Source organism: Homo sapiens, chromosome 8 (assembly GCF_000001405.40).
Source record: "Homo sapiens chromosome 8, GRCh38.p14 Primary Assembly".
In the NCBI taxonomy this organism is placed as follows: Eukaryota; Metazoa; Chordata; class Mammalia; order Primates; family Hominidae; genus Homo; species Homo sapiens.
Window position 1 is genome coordinate 29,194,158 of NC_000008.11, and position 22,570 is coordinate 29,216,727.

Consider the following 22,570-nt stretch of genomic DNA (forward strand, 5'->3'; position numbering starts at 1 on the left):
ATAGTTTTTTAAAAACTATTTTCAATCTGTGGTTGGTTGAACCACAGATGTGAAACCCACAGATACAGAAGGCCAACTGTATATTTATCAGAGATAGGTTCTAAATGGCACTCTCCTCTCCATTATTATTGGGTTTTTTTTTTTTTTTTACTTGTCTTTCTTTTAGGGATTTCTTTAACAGTGACATTTCTTATTCCCAATTTGAGTCGAGAGGCTATTCCCAAAGTAACCATAATGGAGCTAAGCCTGTGTGCTCGACACTGTTCAAAGGAACCTGAGGAAGAAAAAAGGTAAGTGCCTTACATCTAGCAGGTTGGGGTGCTAGGATTCCAGCCCACAGTCTGGCTCTAAGGTCCCTCCTCTGCACCACTAGGCTAGCCTAGCTCTATTCCCCAATATGAAAGTGCCACAGCCTGGCACAAAGTTGGGGACTAATAAACACTTACTTTTTATTTACTACAGCTCTAAATGGTCCTCTTTAAGGCTTAGCAATTTCGTAAATTATTATAGGTAACTTCCAGGCAAAGATTTCATAAACTGGACAAGTCTTTTCTTTCCAAGTAAACACTGTAACAAATTCGAATAACATAGAAGCATAAAGGAAAAATCAAGGTCTCCCTGTTCAACAAGTACACCTCTCCCCAGAGCTGAGGTGTTTAACCTCCCATGTATTTTAGTCAACACAACATTTTTTCTAAACATGCAACTGAATTAAATAAAATATGAACAATTTTTAAATCACCAGGCAATGGTTCCTTCATATCTTCACTGCAACCTCCAGCCTCTGCACCAATAAAAATAAAAAAAAAGCTGGGCACGGTCGCTCACGCCTGTAATCCCAGCACTTTGGGAGGCCGAGGTGGGTGCATCATTTGAGGACAGGAGTTAAAGACCAGCCTGGCCAACATGGTGAAACCCCGTCTCTACCAAAAATACAAAACCCAGCTTGGTGTGGTGGTGGGTGCCTGTAATCCCAGCTACTTAGGAGGCTGAGGCAGGAGAATTGCTTGAACCCAGGAGGCAAAGATTGCAGTGAGCCAAGATCACGCCACCGCACTCCAGCCTGAGCAAGAGCTAGACTCCATCTCAAAAAATATACATAAAAATAAGAAAACGAAAATAATCCAGCACCTTTTCAGTAGAAAAGATGAGAGAAAGTTTACATATATAAAGAAACCAGTGCCCTATTCGGCTTTTTCACAATGATGTTTTATACTGACAGGGTGACTTTCTGTTTGTCATTCAGTCCCTGTGGTTAGGGAAAAAAAATTTAATAAATAAATGATCTTAAAAAGTCAGAGTCCCAAACAGCCATGTCTATAATACACATTTTAGCAATAATAATAGCGAACTGAATTACAATTCAGCCACGGACTGTAAAGGAAAAACAAAACCCCAAGAATGGAGACAGAAATCTAAATTTCCTGGAAGTTCCAAGTAACTTCATGGTCAGTTAAGAAACAGACTTTGTGCCCACTTCAAGCAGGGCTCCACATTCCCTAAGAGACAGAGGTGAAAGCATGTTCCCTTGAGGCGGCTGTGGCTGTGCAGGCTTCTGTTGGCCAGGAATGCACCCCCAGCTGTCTCGGGAGTGGGGAGGATGAGTCGGTTTTGACCGCAGTTTGGAACTACCAGTCTAGAGCCAATCTATGGAGGCGGCTTGAGGCCGCGCAGGTTTCTGTTGGCTGGGAATGCATCCCTAGCTGTCTTGGGAGCAGAGAGGATGAGTCGGCTTTGACCACAGTTTGGAACTACCAGTCTTGAGCCAATCTATGGCACAAAAGGAATCTGTGTTGTAGCTGCTAGGAGACCAGCCAGAAGTGGTCAAAGTGCAAATACAGCTTTTCCATAAACCTCCGGCCCTTCCCATGCCAATAAATGGCTTCAGATTTGTGAGTAGGCTGACAGCTTGCATTACTTGTACAAAATGATAGAAAATATTTTCCTTTTTGAGAAGAAAACTTCTAAGAGTTCAACAACATGCATATAAGATCTTTACAAGCATCACATAACAAACCAAATCTCTTACCTTCGGCTGGCCCCTGAGCTCCCAAAACAGATGTCATCATTGACGTGAAAGAAAAGTTAAAAAAAAAAAAAAAATTTAGTTTAGAAGACTTTTTTTGAAGGGTAAAATAATAAACATTATGTAAATTCACAGTAAGAATATAAAATAATACCTTTGAAGCCACATAGTAATTTGAAGGATAAATGAATGTCTATTAGCTAGTAAGACAGGCTGCTAATCACAGACAACTTGTATCTCTCTGGTAGAAGGAGGACTGAGCACAGATAATAATTTCAACAGTCCTAATATTTCTGCCTTATAGATTTTGCTTTTATCTTTGTGTATGTCTTATAAATATATATTTTTTAATCTTTTACTTTTTTATCATCTGGTTTCAGTTCCAAGTAGTTTTCTCTGCTTTGAAAAAGCAACAGATTACTCTCTTATCTGTACAGGCTCCTCTACAAAACAATGAATTCTATTCTGGCTAAGGAAAAAAGGCTAAATTAAAGAAACCACTAATTTCTTGCCAGTGAATTAACCCAGCTGAGTATCCCTCATCCAAAACGCTTGAAGTGTTTTGGGTTTCGTATTTTTTCTGGATGTGGGAATACTTGCATTATGCTTAACAGTTGCACATCCCAAATCCGAAAATCCAAATTCCAAAATGCTCCAAAGAGCATTTTGTTTGAGTGTTACGTGGGTACTCAAAAAGTTCCAAATTCTGGAGCATTTTGGATTTTCTATGTGGGATGCTCAACCTGTACTTACTGAATTACTCACTACTTATTCCTCTCCGCACACATAAGCACTTCTAACCTCCCACCTTCCTCCCACTGAAACTGCCACTTACTGACATCTCATCAGGGGACAAGAAAATAACTCAATATGGCCGGGCGCGGTGGCTCACGCCTGTAATCCCAGCACTTTGGGAGGCCGAGGCGGGCGGATCACGAGGTCAGGAAATCGAGACCATCCCGGCTAAAACGGTGAAACCCCGTCTCTACTAAAAATACAAAAAATTAGCCGGGCGTAGTGGCGGGCGCCTGTAGTCCCAGCTACTTGGGAGGCTGAGGCAGGAGAATGGCGTGAACCCGGGAGGCGGAGCTTGCAGTGAGCCGAGATCCCGCCACTGCACTCCAGCCTGGGCGACAGAGCGAGACTCCGTCTCAAAAAAAAAAAAAAAAAAAAAAAAACTCAATATATACAGTCAATGTAATCCTGAGATAGTTTCAAACTTAGAGAAAAGTGGTAAAAAGTACAAAGAATGCCCATAGACCTTTCCTGCCAATTTACTAATTGTTAACACTGCCATGACTGCTTTTCTCCTTCTCCTTCCCTTTCCCCCAAGGATTTATATGAATAAATACACACATACACATATATGTTTTTTTTTCCTGAACCATTTGAGGGTAAGTTGCAAACATGCCTCTTTAACAATCCGGGTGTCCAAAACACAGAAAACAGTCATGGGTTCACGGTTTCTGTTTCTGGCTGGGCCAGTAAAGCCCCTTCCTCATCCTTCTTTTCTGCTTATCACTAGAGATAGAAACTAAAGACCATGGCTTCAGGCTGCTTAAAGCCTAAAACAAAACAGAACAACAACACAACAAACTAAGTCCGGTTGGACAAGCTTTTCTAAACTTCCTAAAAACGATGATGTTCACTTACATAATAACAGGGCAATACTGAAATCAAACAATTTAAGAATAAAGGAAAGTACTTTTGAAACTGGAATAAAATAGGAACAATAATAATTGGCCCTTCTCAGAGGATCAAAACTCAACTTTCAGGGCCTGAAACCTGAAAGGAAACTGTACATGAAAATGTTTGCTTCCAATTGTCTTCGACCATCTCTTTGTTGCTTTGTCTCCTGAGATTTTCTTCTAAAAGAAATTTAATACTTATTTGTATCAAGTGATTTCTGACAAGAACATTAAAACACCACAGAAAGTCTAGCAAATGAGTGATACCTGTTTAAGAGATTTTGGAGTAATATCCAACATGGCTAATACATAAAAGAAAATAATTTCTCTGGAATAAGAGATGTAGAAGAATTTCCTGACAAAAAGACTTCTGAAACACTTATACACTGCTGGCAGAAATATAAATTAGTACAACCTCTATGGAAAATAGTATGCATGTTTTGTTTTTTGTTTTTTGTTTTTTTTTGAGACAGAGTTTTCACTCTTGTGGCCCAGGCTGGAGTACAGTGGCGTGATCTTGGCTCACTGCAACCTCCGCCTCCTGGGTTCAAGCGATTCTCCAGGCTCAACCTCCTGAGTAGCTGGGATTACAGGGGCACACCACCACGCCCGGCTAATTTTTTGTATTTTTAGTAGAGATGGGGTTTCACCATGTTGGCCAGGCTGGTCTTGAACTCTTGATCTCAAGTGATCCGCCCGCCTCGGCCTCCCAAAGTGCTGGGATTGCAGGCATCAGCCACGGCACCCAGGCAGAGATTTCTTAAGGAACTTTAAAAGTAGATCAACCATTTGATCCAGCAACCCCACTATGGGTATGCACCCAAAGGAAAATAAGTCATTATGTGAAAAAGACACATGCATATGTATGTTTATTGTAACACAGTTCCCAATTTGCAGCACCTTAGATGGAGCTGGAGGCCACTATTCTAAATGAAGTAACTCAGGAATGAAAAACCAAATATTGCATGTTCTTACCAATAAGTGGGAATTAAGCTATGAGCATGCAGAGGCATACAGAGTGATATAACGGACTTTGGAGACTCAGAAGAGGGGGAGCAGGAGGGGTGAAGGATAAAAAGATTACATATTGGGTACAATGTACACTACTTAGGTGACGGGTACACTAAAATCTCAGAAGTCCCCATTGTATAACTCATCCGTGTAACCAAAAACCACTTGTACCCAAAAGCTATTAAAATAAAAAAATAAAATTTTTTAAAAAATAGAAAAATGTTTTCGAAAATTAAAAAAAAAAGACTTCTGAAATCTGGAGAGGTTACTGACATGCTATCATCTTTTTATTGTCTTTATAAGCAAAGCAGTTTCTCATCAATTGCAGGTGGCTTTGTTATAAACCTACAGGGAGGTAAGAAGAGAATTCAACATGGATGAAAGGCCTCACTTTAGACCAGGTGCACTGCATGCTACATGACTCCATTCTCATGATAACTTTGCAAGATACTATTAGGATTCCAGTTTTACAGATGCAAAAAGTAAGGCTCAGAAAAGTCAACCCGTCTAGCACATACTTCAGGTTGTGAAGTGAACATACTTCAGGTTGTGATGTGAACATCCCTGATCTGAAAATCCAAAATCTTTCTGAAATGGTCCAAAATCTGAAACATTTTGAGCGCCAACATGATGCTCAAAAGGTCATGTTCAAAGGAAATGCTCATTGCCCTTATGCAAATATTCCAAAATCCAAAAAAAAAAAAAAAAAAAAAGAAAGAAATCCAAATCCAAAACACTTCCCAAGCATTTTGGATAAGGAATACTCAACCTGTAATAAGCAGTATGTATCTGGGATTCAAAACTAGGTCTTCTGACTCCCAAGGTCCACGTTCTTGCCCACACTGATCAAAACACTCTCGACTTAACAATCTACGAATCACACATTAACCACTGCTCCTGCTAACATTTCCCAATGTACTAATTTCTCCCATTCTAATGATTACCTAATAAAAGGTTAGCACTTGGTGCTTATGCTAGAGTACATTTACTCTATTTTATAGTACATTTACTATTCATTTTATTTATAGAAACTCCAAAGTGTCTTTTCTGAGGGGAAAAATATATATTTAGTATGATATTTCAAGTTTAAATAAAATGTTTTTATACCAAAAACATCAACTCTTCCTAAGACAAACAACAAGTATGAAATTCAATAACATATGACACATAGCAGAAGAATCCATGGGACTAACCTGAATTCACATCATCATAATAAAAACAGAAACAAACCAGTAAATTAATTACAGAGCTAAGTTTGCAGCTAGGGATTCTGATGGCTATGACAGTAAAGCTCAAATAACCTGCAAAGGCATGGGACACCCAAAGATGTAATTACAACCCTGTACAAAAATAAATAAATTAATTAATTAAACAACACCTTGTCAAAGTGTAGCTGCAATTCAATACAGCCATGTCTCACTCATCCCAAGATCCCTTAATTAGAAACCTCAACTATCCAGATCACTGTGGAGATTCAGGAAGCAAAAGCAGCTGCTGACCAATCCAGAGAAATGTCTCAAGTACAAGCACTAAAGCTGTAATTTCTCAGCTGAGTTGAATTATTTTTGTTGTTGTTGTTGCTTAACTTTATTTTGAAATACTTTCAGGCTTACAAAAAGCTCCAAAAATAGTACAAAAAAATCCTGTACACCCTTCTCCAAGCTTCCTCAAATGTTAACCACCAAATATTTCTTATATCACCACAGCTACAATGACCAAAACCAAGAAATTAACCATCAACACAGTTTATTAAATAACCTATAGACAACCTCCTCCAAATTTTGCCAATTACCCCCACTAATGTCCTTTTTTTGGTCCAAGACCTTGTGTTACATATACTTGTCATGTCTCCTCCAACCTGGGGCACTTTGTCTGTCATGACCTTGACACTTGAAGAGGACTGGCCATTTATTTTGTAGAATGTCCCTCAATCTGGGTTTGCCTAATGCTTCCTCCTGACTAAATCCAGATTGTGCATTTTGGCAAGCCCACCACTGAAGTCACATTGCGCCCTCCTTGGTGCATTCTACCAAGAGTCATATGAGGTGCATGTGCCATTACTGATCATGTTAATTCTGATCACTTGGTCAAGGCTGGATCTATGAGGTTTCCCACAGTAAAATTACTATTTTTACCTTCGTAACAAATAAGAATCATGTGGGGGATAAACTTTTAAACTATGTAAACACTCTGTTTCTCATCGTCATACTTTCACCTGCAAATTTTAGCACCCACTTATAATTCTTGCCTGCAACAATTACTATCTCCCAAATAGTGACTGTTTAGTTACTGGAGACCTCCCCAGCCCAGGTGGATGACCATGGATGAATGTGCTTTTTTGGAAGCAGGCAGCTTGGGAAACAACAAACAATATGGCTGCATATCTGGGATAAAGACAGTTATCTATGAATAAACTAACCTCTTCCTCCTTTTTACTGATCTGGCTTGTGGGCTCATGCTCACTTCTCATTTGAATAACAAATCACATCATACAAAGAAATCAAATTATATCTGTAATCTCTAGAATGCCAAAATACGAAGAAGAAATTTTATAAACTCATCACCTCTGAAAATGTTGTAATACTTCTGTCCATGACACAAAAAAAATTGATATTGGGTCCAAAAGTAAACCACACAGTATCACATATGTGTAAAACACAAAATAATATCAGTAGAAAGGAAAGTTATAGATCATTTACTGTTGTCAACTACCAAAATCAAATACTGAATCCAAATCCCATCATCTCTTTTAATTCTAAAGGTCTGAGTTGCTGAAATCTTCACAACTGAAATATTTGGAATCTCTGGTTCAACAAGACCCCACCCCAACCCGCTGTATAACGGATGTATACATCACAAAGAGCTTATTCTAATACAGCCATACTACGTCATGATATTGTTGCTTTTTTGAACTTGGCTGGCACTACCAGCAACCAAACAACAATCTGTGTGATGAGTATGATTTTTTTCTTTGTCACTCCTCCCCCACTGTACTTTCCATACATGGAATGAAGCCGAGCTGACTTGAAATTTAGAAAGTGACTACACTCACAACAGAAGCTTCTCAACATTTGCTTACTCCAGTCAACTCTCTGTAAGAAGTACAAATATCACAAAAAGCCCTGTTCGTTGTGTCCTCAATATCTAGAATTTTCCATCCACTTTTGAAGGATAAATTCTAATAGCAACATTGATAAAGTAGAGTATGACTGGAGAATAATAGCATTCAGGAGGCGGGGGGATTTGAAAACTCTACCAGTGAAAGAAGGGGAAATCCCTGTAGCTGGAGCGGGTAAGATGAGAGGAAGACAGGCTGCCCAGCCTCAAAGCTGAGGGGACTCATACCTGGCAGGGAAGCTAACTTGTTTTAGGTCACTTCCAGGGCTGCATTCAGTAAGATATACTGGGGAAGGTTGCCGCAAGTGGGATATCTCTTTATTTTATTGTTGTTTTGAGACAGAGTCTTGCTCTGTTGCCCAGGCTAGAGTGCAGTGGCAAGATCTTGGCTCACTGTAATCTCTGCCTTCTGGGTTCAAGCGATTCTTCTGCCTCAGCCTCCCAAGTAGCTGGGACTACAGGCACCCACCACCATGCCCAGCTAATTTTTGTACTTTTAGTAGAGGCAGCGTTTCACCATGTTGGCCAGGCTGTCTCGAACTCCAGACCTCAGGTGATCTGCCTACCTCAGCCTCCCAAAGTGCTGGGATTATAGGAAGTGGGTTATTTCTTTAGTATAAGAATAATTAACACTGTTTCAAGAGACAGCCAGTTCCCCTAGCAGTGGAATGTCTAAGCGGAGAGCAGAAAGCATCTGCTGGGAACTGGCACAAGGAATGTGAAGCTGCCTTAGATTCACTGTTCAACTCTTTTCACTGACAATAAGAAAAGGAGCAGTGAGCCTCCAACATCCCTATCAGTGCCACCTGTGGACCACTGGAGGCTCAGGCGTCATCTCCCCCAACTCAGCTACGTCACTCCCCTGTCCTCCATATACCTAACTTAGGTAACACCATTCCCCCTAGCAATTCTGCTTGCTTAAGGCCCACCTACAAGAGAAAGGCTCAGATCACACTTTATCTCCCTCAAGCATCCATCCACTTGAACCCTATACAAAAGTGATTTCCTTCCCCAATTCCTACATAAAGCCGAAACTGTTTCTACTGCTTATGTAGGACCACTCGGTTTGTCTCATGATAGAATAAACTTTTACATGTCATCTCGGCTAGACCATAAGCTTCTGAAGGACAAAGTGTTCTTCCTTTACGGGAATGTCCAACACAAGGCTTTTTGCTTATTCTGCAAATATTTCTTAAGCTGTTCAGGTGATCTGGCCCCTTTCTCTATCTCCAACTACATCTTTTACTGGTCTTCCTTTCACCCATGTGGGACTGACCCAGGTACCAATCTTTCAGTCTCAGGGCTTTCATACATGACTATTTCTGTCTTGGACTCTACAGGCTAACTCCTATTCATTTATTAAACTTCACTTATTCATTTATTAAACTCATGATTAAATTTCTCAGTTTAATCATGAGTTCCCTAGACACTATCTTTCTTAAACAGCCTATGTTACTCTCGAAGAAGTATTATGGGGAAAATAAAACCACTTCCACCACCATCCTCTGTCTCTAAAATCATGTCCAAAACAATAAAGAAAACAATGTTTCCATGTTCAATGAAACTTGGAGATATTTACAACTGAAACACACGACATTAAGACAGAAAATGCGCCAGGTGCGGTGGCTCACGCCTGTAATCCCAGCACTTTGGGAGGCTGAGGCAGGCGGATCACAAGGTCAGGAGTTCGAGACCAGCCTGGCCAATATGGTGAAACCCTGTCTCTACTAAAAATACAAAATAAATTAGCCGGGCATTGTGGTGCATGCCTGTAATCCCAGCTACTCAGGAGGCTAAGGCAGGAAAATTGCTTGAAGCCGGGAGGCGGAGGTTGTGGTGAGCCGAGATCACACCACTGCACTCCAGCCTGGGTGACAGAGGGAGTTCCGTCTCAAAAAAAAAAAAAAAAAAAAAAGATAGAAAATGCATCCACAGAATACAAGAAAAGACTGAAACTGGTGCCAATTACCCCAGAAGGTAGGAGGAGACCTAGAAAAGGAAGGTTGTTTGAAAAGAGCAGTTAGACATCTCCTGTGTCCAATCCCACTCAGGACAGTTGGTAGATACTGGTAATTTGCAGTCCTTGGAGAAAACTTATTTAAATGTAGAAAAAAGTTTGACAACCCCATTCTATTCGAATCTTCCACCCACACAAACAACAACTGGTTGAGAACAGAGGGACATCCAAGCAATATGGCCACTGAACCACAACTAGTATATTTCATAATCATAGGACTTTAGAAATATGAAGACTCTGATATATAAATTCCATAATTTCAAACTGTCATATACTGGGATAGCATAATTCAAAGAATACACTCAGTATTAACTCAATCACTTGCAAATCACTTGTCTTTTCTCATCTGTGAAACACACCGGCAGAATGAGTTTCATTTCATCGTCCACTTTCACTATAAGAAAGCTTAAATCTAGCCAGGTACAGTGGTGTGGGCCTGCAGTCCAGCTATTCAGGAGGCTGAGGTGGGAGGATTGCTTGAGTCCAGCAGTTCAGGACCAACACTGCAAGACCCCCATCTCTATAAAAATTTTAAAGAAAAATAAAAAGAAAGTTTAAATCTGGCCAAAGAATACTGACTCATTTGTGGAGGGTTTTTGATGAAGTATATTTCATATCCCACATTCACAGGGTAATACACACTCATTTTAATCATGGCAAATTCAAATAACTTCAAGGTATTCTATATACAGAGATTAGAATACATTACTGAGCTGAGGCCCTGGGCCAGACATCTGGCCTTCGGCCACAGACCAAAAAAAAAAAAGGCGGATTAAGATATTCTTAGACTACAAGCAAAGAAAGCTTCTAATTTTTATTTCTCTCAGTATTTGTGGTTTTCAATTTAATCCCTATTTTCCATCGTGTTTCTTGATCAGATTAATATGACTGAATTTCTGCTTGATTAGATTGATCTGGGGAAAATGTTCACTGAATATGAAATTAACTAATTTCCCCCCAGCCCTTCACCTTTTCTACACCTATATCTCCGAACCAGAGGCCACACACTCAAGGTCTACAGGCCCGACTGGGCACAGTGGCTCACACCTGTAATCTCAGTATGTTGGGAGGCAAAGGCAGGAGGATCGCTTCAGCCCAGGAGATGGAGGCTGTAGTGAGCTATGATCACACCACTGCACTCAGCCTGGGTGACAGAGCAAGACCCTGTCACCAAAAAAGTTTTTTTAAAAAAAAGGTCCACAAGCATTTTGTTCAGGCCTCACTGTATTGATCAAAAGTAGAAAATTAGAAGACATCACATTAGAAAATCTGGATTTTCAAATTCTCTTGAAAATTCAGAAGACTTGGAAATGCTAGGCTTAAGTTCCCACACAGCAGCAACAGGTAGATCTGAACAACTACCACCTCCTACTAGGCCCCTGCAGTTTCAAATTCCTCCTATTAAGAGAAAACAGAAAAGAGTTTTCTTTTCTTCAGACTTGAAGAAAAACACCGACTCACAAATTCATAGGAAAATAAGGAGAACACTTCCAAATCCAAGTCCTAAGAATCTAACAGACAGAGCCATCACAATCGTGTCAGGGCTATATTACAGATTCTACACACCCCATTACATAATACAATCTGCTTTAAGATTCCAAAACCTAATCCCAGCTAGGCTAAACAAGGAATCCCAAATTCAAATGTCCCTCGCAGCAGTAATGTCATTAGAATTAATAGCTATGAAATCAAATTAAACCTAAAGCCTTTGTCTTCACTATAACCAGTGGTAGGTCTAGAGTTTAGATCTAAGTTGGAAAGCTTGGTACTTCAAATTAAAAAGAGGCCAGGCGTGGTGGCTCACACCTGTAATCCCAACACTCTGGGAGGCTGAGGCGGGAGGATCACTTGATCCCAGGAGTTCAAGACCAGCCTGCATAACATAGCAAAACTCCATTTCTACCAAAAAAAAAAAAATACAAAACTCAGTAGGGAATAGTGGCATGCACTTGTGGTCCTCAATACTTGGGAGGCTGAACTGGGAGGATCACTTGAACTGATGAGCTTGCACTTGCAGTGAGCTATGATTGTGCCACTGAACTCTAGTCGGGATAACAGAGCAAGACCCCACCTTTTAAAAAAAAAATGAAATTAACTAATTCCCCCCACAAAAAAAGAGGCTGGGGATAGGGGCATGGTGGCTTATGTCTGTAATCCCAGCACTTTCGGAGGCCAAGGCGGGAGGATCGCTTGAGCCCAGGAGTTCCAGACCAGCCTGGCCAACATAGTGAGACCTTGTCTCTATGAAAAAATTGAAAAGAAAAACAAAAGGCATACTTGAAGTGCATGGCACACGTATGCTGACGCATGCTTGATAAATGTTAGATGCCATCATTATTGTGATTCTGTCTCATGATGCAATGTCTTGGGGTTAAGTCAGCCAGCAGGTTGAGAGAAACTGAAATTCACTATAATTACTCCCAAAATTGACTGCTTAGCGAAGATTTCCTTAACTTCCTTGAGTGAAAATTCAATTTCCAAAAGTTTCACGACTACCTATTTCACTACTCACAAGGGAAAAAACAGCTTAACTGAAGATGGCTTTGTTTATCCCTGTCCTAAGATATGGTTTTCACCTTGAAATGTCTCACAACCCCAACCTCCCTTTTTCCTTCTGATAGTCATTCATTCAGCAAATATTTACAGTCTGCCGTGCCAAGCACTAATCTAAGCCCTGGAGAGACAGCCTGGAAAAACGGGACAAAAACCTTGCCCTGCAAGAGCTTAAATTATTAAAAATAGAATGAATGAGTGAATGAATGAATGAGTAAATATGTCATATAATAGGTGCTAAGGAAATAAATAAAGCAGGGAAGGTGGATGGGGTTTGCGGAAGTGGAAGTGGGGTGGAAATTTTAAACATGGTGGTCAAGAGAAGCCTTGCTGAAAGGACGTTTGATGGTGACCAAGTGGAAGCAAGGGAGTGGGCCATGTGGCTGATGGGGCACAACGCCACCCTGCTTCATGCCCTCCTGGTTTACCACGCAACTTCCTAGCTGTGCTCTCACCCAAGCACACATCTAAACCACACACTGATCTGGTGGTCATAATTTGGCCTCAAACCCCTCAATGGCTCCCAACTCCCTCGCAGATGAAATTCTAACTCCTTAAGCAAGCAAGCAAGGCTCTCCACAGCACCACCACTCCCCAACTCTCCAGCCTCAATCTCCTACGCCCGTGCTTATGCCTCCACTGCATTACTCTAAAAGCTCAGCAAGTCCTTCAGGCTCAGTCACTTCTATCCTTTCGGTTACCAGGGTGCCTTTCCCATTGTTTGCCCTGGTGATAGCCTACTTCTCCTTCAAAACAAAAGTGACCTTCTCTGTCCCCTACCAGGGACTTCCAATTCCCTTGGGTCTTCTTTTCTAAGGAAGTATCAAAGCTATATTGCCCTCTCTGTGACTGCGAGCTCCCTGAGGACACAGAAGGCGTTTCTTTCCGGGTGCCTGACATCATCTGGTGGGCACTCAATGCTTATTGGACGTGACATGAAATGACGAGCTTGTCTAAACTGTCCAGTCCTGATTTATGCTGTCCCCATGCCTGCTATAGTTCTCCCAGTGTCCTGATACTCATCCAAAAAAAAAAGTTTCAACAGACTCATTAATACACCTTTTTATCCAAAGATTGGAATTCCATTTATCAACTATTCAGAATATACTTGAATCAAAAGCAAAAAAAAAAAATGCTTTCAGAGATGGAGAAAAACAGAAGCCATGCTTTTCTCTATAGAAGAGACCAGGTATACACTTAATTTAAGGTCACAGACCAGAAGGGGTTGGCTCATCTGCTTCCAATAATCAGAGTTTTGGGGGAGTTTGAAATGATGGCTACTATTATAGAAGCCAATAGTTACCGCTCAAAAAAATGAAGAGAGAAACGTGAATGAGGAAAGCACGGCAGACAGTCTGGGGCAGGCACCATGTGAGGAGAGCCCTGAAGTGTTCATTTCGATATTTCCTGAGAGGCTGCAGAACAGGCACAAGTCCTTGCCCTCAAGGAGCTGACAATCCAGTTAAGTCAGATATCTCAACATTAGAAAATCATGTATTTGCAGTTCATCATGAAAAGGATGCTAAGCCATGATATTCCATTAATTTATTCTGATGGCAGGGAAATAAGAACTTAAAAAGCTTTAAATAAAAATTGGTTGAAATGACCAAAAAAGTATCCTTTTTGGTGCTTAATGAGGTTTCTCATCAGTATCACATATTGACTCACCTACCATATCACCTACTTGGTATAGGATAAAAGTAGTGCTATTTAAACATATGTGCATATTAATTTATTGGCAATTACTTCTAAGGTGTAAGAAAGAGGTAGCAGTCTATATACTCCATACGGATTAATGCTGCATCATAGTCACAAAAAAGATAAAATTGTTAAATCTGTATAAATAAAATGAAATCTGTGGTCCATGGTTGGGCCTCAGTGGGTCTGTGAATCCATGCTACTGTTTTTTTGGTTTTTTCTAGGCAGAGGAGTTATAGCTTTCAGATTCTTAAAATAGTCCAGAGTCTATAACCCAAAAAAGGTTAAGAAACAGTGTGCTAGAGACAATTTATGAAGAGCTATGGGGCTCCATGTTCTAGGTCAGCGTTGGCTTGGGAGAGACTGAATATTCAAATAGACAACGGGCAGACCACGTACAACCAGAGCTCTAATTCACAACCTTGGTCATTGGCCCATGAGGGTGGGACCTTGGTCAGTGACTCTTAGCTTCCTTATTTTTTGCCCCTGCTTGCCATTCAGAATCAGCAAGAGAAAGTCAAGTATGCTCCCCACAACAAGCACCTAAGACATCCACTTCTATTAGCCTGCTTCCAGCTCCCCCAGGCCACAGCCTCGTCTCAGAAAACCCTCGAAGGTTTCCTTTTCTCCACTATAAAGTTTCACGTGCCCCTGCCTGCCTCTGTGCATCTGCCAAACCCAAGTGATGGTGGCCAACTCCCTTGCTGGAGTGCACTCTGGTTAACAGTCTGTTTGTTCGCATTTGCATGGTCTTAGTTTATTTCCATAGGCTGATCATCTAACACCTTAGGTAAGAAGTAGAGCCACTGAGGATCAAATGTAAATGCAAGACACCAACAGAATAGTAACATTAACTTGCAAGTTTACGTTTCTACAATAAGGTAACTTTAAAAGACACTGAAAAAAGGAACTGCCAGAGAAGGAGGAAAACCAGATGAGAGGCACCACTGGGAGGTGAGAGTTTGGATAGAGAAGGCGCCATGGGCAGTCGTACCCAGGCTACAGAAAGAACAGGCTCATGGAGGGCGAGAAGGCTCCCTACATCTGTCTCTCCATTCTGATGTGGACTCAGCCATATCTCATTTACTCTCTGCAGCTCACACAGCCATCCAAACTACCTAAGCCTCAGAAATCCAAAGAACAAGCTCCTCCCACCATCCTACAGTGGCCTGAGTCCAATGTCACAAAGGCCAGTGAAAGGGGAGGTTAGCACAGCAGGCCTGGGTCTCTAGCTCCCAAAGACCAATTCTAAGAGCTGCTTTAATTACTCCTTGAGTTCATCTCCTGTAATTTTGTGTGACGATTCCTGACTCCCCTCTCCAGGCAGGGTGTGACTAAGCATATCTGTGTGACAGTCCCTTAAGGTGCTTCCGTTGCCTCACAACTAACCAATGAGAACTGGCACAAGCTTTGGACATACAACTAAAAGGTGAGCATCAAGTACACTCTGAACTAGCATCTAGGGCACAGAAAGATAGAGGGTGATCACTTAAAGGATCATTGGCTGAATGTGGCGGCTCATGTCTGTAATCCCAACACTATGGGAGGCTGAGTTGGGAAGATCACTTGAGCCCTGGAGTTCAAGACCAGTCTGGGCAGTGAGACCCTACCTCTCCACAAAAAAAAAAAAAAAAAAAATAGCTGGGTGTGGTGATGCACACGTCTGTATTCTCAGCTACTCAGGAGACTGAAGCAGGAGGATCACTTGAGACCAGTTGGTCAAGGCTGCAGTAAGCCATGATTGCATCACTGCACTCCAGCTTAGGCAAGAGAGCCAGACCCTGTCTCAGAGAGAGAAAAAAAAAAAGGATCCTTGATCCACCACATGAGAGCAGGAAAGTAGTAGGAAGAGTAGTCAGACTACCATGGATCAGGGAAGAAATGGGAAATATAATTAAAGACAGAGGGTAATGGATGGAAGGGGATAGAATCTAAAAATATCTAAAATGAGTTGTAAAAGTTCACAGGATTGACATTCAGTATACCTTTGTGTAAACTGCCCAGAACACTTGAATTCCAGATACCATTCCAGAGCACACAGACAGCCCTACAGATCTACTCACCAGAGAGAGGGCTACAGACTTCACCATTTCTAGAAATGACTTGAAGATGGAAGAACTGATTGTCCAGGCACACCAGCAGAAATGTGTTCAGATCCTTTCTCAGATGAGATCACAACCAAACACACCCTACGTCTCCTTCCAGCCTTATTGCCCCCAAATAATGAGCCCAAGAAAGCATCTTCTTTCCAAGAGTTTACAGGGCTCCATTTTTCGTTTAGTTTGATAGAAACAAAAAGTGTATGGCAGATGACATTTGTTTCAATATGAGAACCAACAAGGAAATATTCGGTTGTAAGATATTAAGATGGGATCCTGAGACTTTTTATTTCCATGGTGATTCAAAATAAAATAACATGAATGACCTTTTCCCTGGTCCTTTTCCTTTAACTTTTAGCCAAATTTATTTAACCCCTCCTGTGAATGAGAAATACCAAAGAAGAATGTTTCAGAGAGTTTTCATCAATATGAGCCACAAGTAGAGCACAAAGAACACAAATGGGTTAGAGGATAACAGGATTAATTTGTTTTCCCTTCAGCAACTGACATGCTAAACACTGCTGCAGGAAAAGAGGTACCTGGTAAAATGAGACCACCTGGCCAGGGCCTGCAGTTGTATGGTTTGTGTCCTTCATGGAGGCACCTGACCCAGAGGGAGTGGGGGCTAAAGAGCAGCCCCTGCCACAATGGCCCGGCAGAAAAGGGCCACGGCCTAGGAGGGGTGCAAAGAAAAAGGCACCATGTGCTTTCCGTAAGACTGAGACAGCTCAGAAGTGGTGCCTTCTTCTAATTGGTCTGGCCAGAGGGGTCACCTTCCTCTCGTCTGCACGAAAGCACCATTTGCTGGTAAGAACCTCGGAGAGGGCACTTGTTTCCATGCATTGTTTGCCATGGGCATCAGACAAGGCATTTACCATAGATGTGAAGCCCCAGCCATGATAGAACAACTGGTTCTAGCTCTCCTGCCATAAACAGCAAGAAAACTGGGCAAAAGACCTGAAGCAAATGTGTTCAGACGATGGACAACAGGCAGAGTAAAATGAGGATCCCTGAGAGGAGAACAAGGGAAGTGAGCCCTTCGACTGCCCAGGTTTTCTGCCTATAGATACTTTCCTGGCCCAGGCCAGAGCCTGGTGGCCAGAACTGAGTTGCCAGGGATGAGAGACCTGAGAAGCTGAGGCAGCTAGAGTCTGCTGGCCAGGGAGAAGGAAGCAATGCAGAGGGAGAACTCCAGGAATCTGCTCAGGGGCCCTTCAGTCTTTGTCTTTGGCTGAGTAAACTTCACATGCAGGAGGTGAGACTCCAAGCAGCCAGAAAAATCACCAGGAAACAACTAGTACTGAGGAAGCATGTGTAAGCTGGACAATTCCCAGAGCTTGCACGGGGCTTGGAGGCATGAGTTACAACCAGCCACAGAGGAAAGATCTCCTTAAACACCAGGTGGCATTTGGTATAGAGCCCAGAATTGCTAATTGCTACAATTGCTAATTTCTAATTGCTTTGTTCTGTCATACACTTAGCATTATTTACATATACATTTTTTTCTTAGTATATTTCCTCTAGGCCCAGGCAACCACTGACCTACTGTCTTTTTTCTGGACATTTCATATAAATGATACTATAAAATATGTAGCTTTTCTACCTGGTGTCTATCACTTAGCATGTTTTTAAGATTCATTCATGCACACCCAGCATGTTATCAGTACTTTATTCCTTTTTTATTGTGCATAGTATTTTGTTTATCCATTTACCAGTTGATAGGCATTTGGGCTGTTTCTAGCGTGAAGCTATTATAAATACTGCTCCTTGGAACATTCAAGAATAAGTCTTTGTGTACACATTTATTTTTATTTATCCTGAATAGATACCTAAGACTAAAGCTGTTGGGTCACATGGTAAGTATGTTTATACCCAAAAGTATATTTAACTTTTTAGGAAACGGTAAAAATGTTTTCCAAAGTGTATATACCACTTTACATTCCCGTCAGCAAGACATGAGAGTCACGGTTGCTCCCCATCTTCACCAACACCCAGTGCAGCATCGTCTGTCGTTTTGATTACAGACATTCAAGTGGGAGCACAGGGGCCTCTCACTGCAGTTTTAAACTTGTATTTCTCTAACAACCAATGATGCTGAGAATCTTCTAAAGACGTGTTTAGACTTTAAAGAAGAGAAAAATTTTCTCAATGGAGTTTCTCTCCACATTAGACTATTATAAAGATTAATTCCTATCCAAGTCCAAACTACTTCCTTAGCCCATCACACTGATTTTTCTGTTCCATATCTATTCAGTCCTTTGACCTCTTTAACCACATTCAAGCTCCTTCATAGTCTTTGTGTAGACATTCGTTATTATTTCCCTTGGGTACCTAAAAGTAGAACAGCTGGGTCATGTGGTAAGTAAATATTTGTAAACTTCACATTTAATACTTGTTTTGTGGTCCAGATGCCCAAATTAATGTGTTAATTTATTTTGGGAAATTGTATTTGATTACTAATGTTCATACTAGATAACACACGTACCTGAGGCACTATGCTAAAGTAATCGTTATTCCTTTAAGTCTCAAGTTTCTAACTATTTAAGCATGTATAATCAGATGGCACATGGATGTAATAGTCCCAAGCAGCTAACAGTCTAGTTGATGAGACAAGAGGTAATTAGATAATTCAAGATATTAAACTGTCTTCATGACATGACACTATAAGAAGTAGTACTCTGCACTAAGAGTAAGCAGCCCTCATTCAGTTTATGGTCTGCCTTGAACATGGGCTTTAGGATCCTAAGTAGTCACTTAACCTCATTCAACCTCTCTGCAACTTCAGTAGTAAAGTAGGGTCACTACCTACATAACATACTTCACGCTGCTGTGCATCGTGGGGTGTGATGGAAAGAACATGGCTTAGGAGCTAGGCAGACTTGAATTCAAATCTAGATTCAATAAATGCTTGTGCTCTTACTGGATCCAAAAGCTATTCTAAGTGCATTTCACATATTATTTTCTCTAATTCTCACAATAACCCTACAGCATCAATCCTATTATCATCCACATTTTATAAATGAGGGAAGTGAGGCTTAAAGATTAAATAACTTGCCCAAGGTCCACAATTAAATACAGGCATGCATTGCTTAAGGAATATGTTCAGGAAATGCATTACGGGCAATTTTAACCTGTGCAAGCACCATAGAATGTATTTATACAAACACAGATGGTGCGGCCTACTATGCACACAGGCTGTATGGTATAGGCTATTGCTCCTAGACTACAAACCTGTATGGCATTTCCTGGAGGCAACTGTAACACAATAGTAGGCATTTGTGTATCTAAACATAGAAAAGGGGCCAGGCACAGTGGCTCACGCCTGTAATTCTAGTACTTTGGGAGGCTGAGGCGGGTGGATCACCTGAGGTCAGGAGTTCGAAACGAGCCTGGCCGACATGGTGAAACGCTGTCTCTACTAAAAATACAAAAAAAAAAATAGCCAGGTGTGGTGGCAGGCTCCTGTAATCCCAGGTACTCGGGAGACTGAGGCAGGAAAACAGTTTGAATGCGGCAGGCGGAGGTTGCAGTGAGCCGAGATTGAGCCACAGCACTCCAGTCTGGGAGACAGAGCAAGACTCCATCTCAAAAAAATAAATAAAATAAAATAAAATACAAAAGGTACAGTAAAAATACGATACAAAAGATTTTAAAAATGGTACAGCTGTCTAGGGCATTTACCATCAATGCAGTTTGCAGGACTGGCCATTGCATCAGGTGAGTCAGTGGGTGAGTGGTGAGTGAACGTGAAGGCCTAGGTCATGACCATACACTACTGTAGACTTCATTAACACTGTGCACTTAGGCTACGCTAAATTTATTTTCAAAAATGTTTCCTTCTTCAGTAAACTAACCAACCTTAGCTTACTGTAAAGTTTTTACTTTATAAACTTTTTTAACTTTTTGATTCTTGTAATAACAGTCAGGTTAAAACACAAACACTATACAGCTACACAAAAATATCTTCTTTCTTTATATCCTTATTCTAGAAGTTTTATATTTTTAGAACTTTTTTAAAAAATTAGACTTAAAAACCTAAAACACACACATTAGCCTAGGCCCACACAGGGTCAGGATCATCAGTATCACCGTCTTCCACCTCCACGTCTTGTCCCACTGGAAGGTCTTCAGGGGCAGTAACAGGCATGGAGCTGTCATCTCCTGTGATAACAGTGCCTTCTTTTGTAGTAACTCCTGAAAGACCTGCCTGAGGCTGTTTTACAATTAACCTTTTTAAAAATGGGTAGTAGGCATATACACTAAAATAATGATAAAAAGTCTACTGTAGTAAATACAGAAACCAGTAACATAGTCATTTATGATGATTATCAAGTATTATATACCATGCATAATTGTATGTGCTAGACTTTTATATAACTGGCAGTGAAGTAGTTTGCTTTCACCAGCCTCACCATAAATGCATCAGTAATGCATAGCACTACAACTTTACCAATGGCTGTGATGCCACTAAGTGACAGGAATTTTTCAGCTCCTTCATAATTTGATGGGACCACCTTCATATGAGCAGTCCATTGTTGACTAAAATATCATTATGGGGCGCATGACTGTGATAGAGTGGTGATCCAAACCAAGGCAGAAGGAATATTTACCTCTAAATAATACTCTGCTGGAGAGACAAAATCAAAACTGTTCAGGGCTGTGACATCATCAGGACTGCATTTTCTCTCCAGGACCTGTTGCTCCGGTGGCTCCACGCTCCCTGCATGAGTTGCATTATGTTTGTTTCCCTGCTCTTTCCCGTCCTCATGAAGCCCTGTCTTCTGAGTTAGGCTAACATCCTGGAGGAAACATGTTCTAGCCTCCAAGTAGAGTGAGTGGTATGTGGGGAAGGGGAGGGAAGATAGAGGGCAGAAAAGACTTTTCCAACCTACCTAACAAACAAGCAAAATATGGCAAATTTGGGGCAACACCTGGAGTAGGGAGGGAGGCAATAGGAACTGTCTTAGAGAAGAAAAAATAATTCTTTCATTATTTCATGTCCCAGGATCGATCGAACCAACTCTATAGAACAGTATGCCGACCAGGTGTGGTGGCTCACAACTATAATGCCAGCACTTTAGGAGGCTGAGGAGGGAGGATCGCTTGAGCTCAAGAATTCAAGGACCAGCTTGAGCAACGTAGGGAGACCCTGTCTTTACCAAAAATTCTTTTTTAATTAGCCAGGCACGATGGCATGCGTCTGTTGTCCCAGCTACTCAGGAGGCTGAGGCAGGAGGATTGTATGAACCTAGTAGGTCGAGGCTGCAGTCAGCCGTGATGGCACCACTGCACTCCAGCAGGGACGACAAGGTGAGACCCTTTTTAATAAGAGTATGCCTTCCAAGTTTATGGTATTTGTCAACTAAGCTAAAGATGTTTTGAAGAAAGCAACGGGAATCTTTGAATGCTTGAAGGACAACGACAAAAAGTTTTAAAGTATTAAAAGCTTTGAAAGCAAATTTATAATCTTGGTGGAAAAAAGTAAATGAGGATATGAATTGTAATTTTAAAACTAAATTGCACACACATACAGGTAACTAGTATTGCCTATAGGAGGTATATCTGAAAATTTGTTTTGTGTATTCATCTTCATACATGGGTGTGTATGTAGATAAACAGACAATACACCCAATACTGATCACCTCTTTCCCAGCGGAGATGAAGGGAGATTTGCCTGAAAAAACTGTTCACCTGCTCGTTTAAAGTTGTTAAATTATTTTTTAAGTCTCTATTTTTAATTGCTTTAATAATAATAATAGAGGCTACCTTTTTTAAACTGCTAAACGTCAAATACCTGGTACACTTTAATACACCAACCCTACAAGGTAGGTCTTATCCTCTCCACTTTGTAGAGTAATAAGGAAGGCATATCACAAACAGGTTAAATAATTTGTTCAGTAACAAAGCTAGATTCAAACCTAGGTCTCTCATTCTAAAGCCACGTACTAGGCCGGGCGCAGTGGCTGATGCCTGTAATCCTAGCACTTTGGGAGGCCAAGGCAGGCAGATCACTTGAGGTCAGGAGTTCAAAACCAGCCTGGCCAACATGGTGAAACCCCACCTCTACTAAAAACACAAAATATTTAGCTGGGCATGGTGGCGGGTGCCTGTAGTCCCAGCTACTTGGGAGGCTGAGGCAGGAGAATCATTTGAACCTGGGAGTAAAAGGTTGCAGTGAGCCGAGATCCTGCCACTGTACTCCAACCTGGGTGACAAAGTGAGACTCTGTCTCAAAAAAGATTTTTTTAATTAAAAAAAAAATACAACTATGTTCTTTCTACTTTAATATTTTGCCCTCCCACCCATGGCAAATGATACAGGAGAAGAAATTAAAGACAACTTTGTAGCAGAAAACTAAATG

The 22,570-nt window shown here is 41.1% G+C and overlaps 1 protein-coding gene across 8 annotated transcripts in view, besides 2 other annotated features; it reads right to left on the minus strand.

Annotated features, from left to right (window-relative positions):
* KIF13B (kinesin family member 13B) overlaps positions 1 to 22,570 on the minus strand; it is a 196,111-nt gene that overhangs the window by 126,880 nt on the left and 46,661 nt on the right. For 7 of the 8 annotated variants that reach the window (XM_011544459.4, XM_005273458.2, NM_015254.4 and 4 more), the window contains exon 3: positions 2,030 to 2,042. The exons of the other annotated variant lie outside the window; for it this stretch is intronic. Coding sequence is in view for 5 of the 7 variants with exons in the window: in XM_005273458.2 (XP_005273515.1) it covers positions 2,030 to 2,042 (13 nt within the window). In the remaining 2 variants the exon portion in view is untranslated. The remainder of the gene's footprint in view (positions 1 to 2,029; positions 2,043 to 22,570) is intronic. 8 annotated transcript variants of the gene reach the window in all.
* Positions 1,722 to 1,922: a silencer, noted in NCBI's record as "peak6973 fragment used in MPRA reporter construct". NCBI's record gives its function as "represses an SCP1 promoter by STARR-seq MPRAs in K562 erythroleukemia cells {active_cell/tissue: K562}" and the evidence as "EXISTENCE:reporter gene assay evidence [ECO:0000049][PMID:32103011]".
* Positions 11,800 to 11,953: a silencer, noted in NCBI's record as "fragment chr8:29063474-29063627 (GRCh37/hg19 assembly coordinates)". NCBI's record gives its function as "represses an EF-1alpha promoter that drives an FKBP-Casp9 reporter gene in an ReSE screen in K562 erythroleukemia cells {active_cell/tissue: K562}" and the evidence as "EXISTENCE:reporter gene assay evidence [ECO:0000049][PMID:32094911]".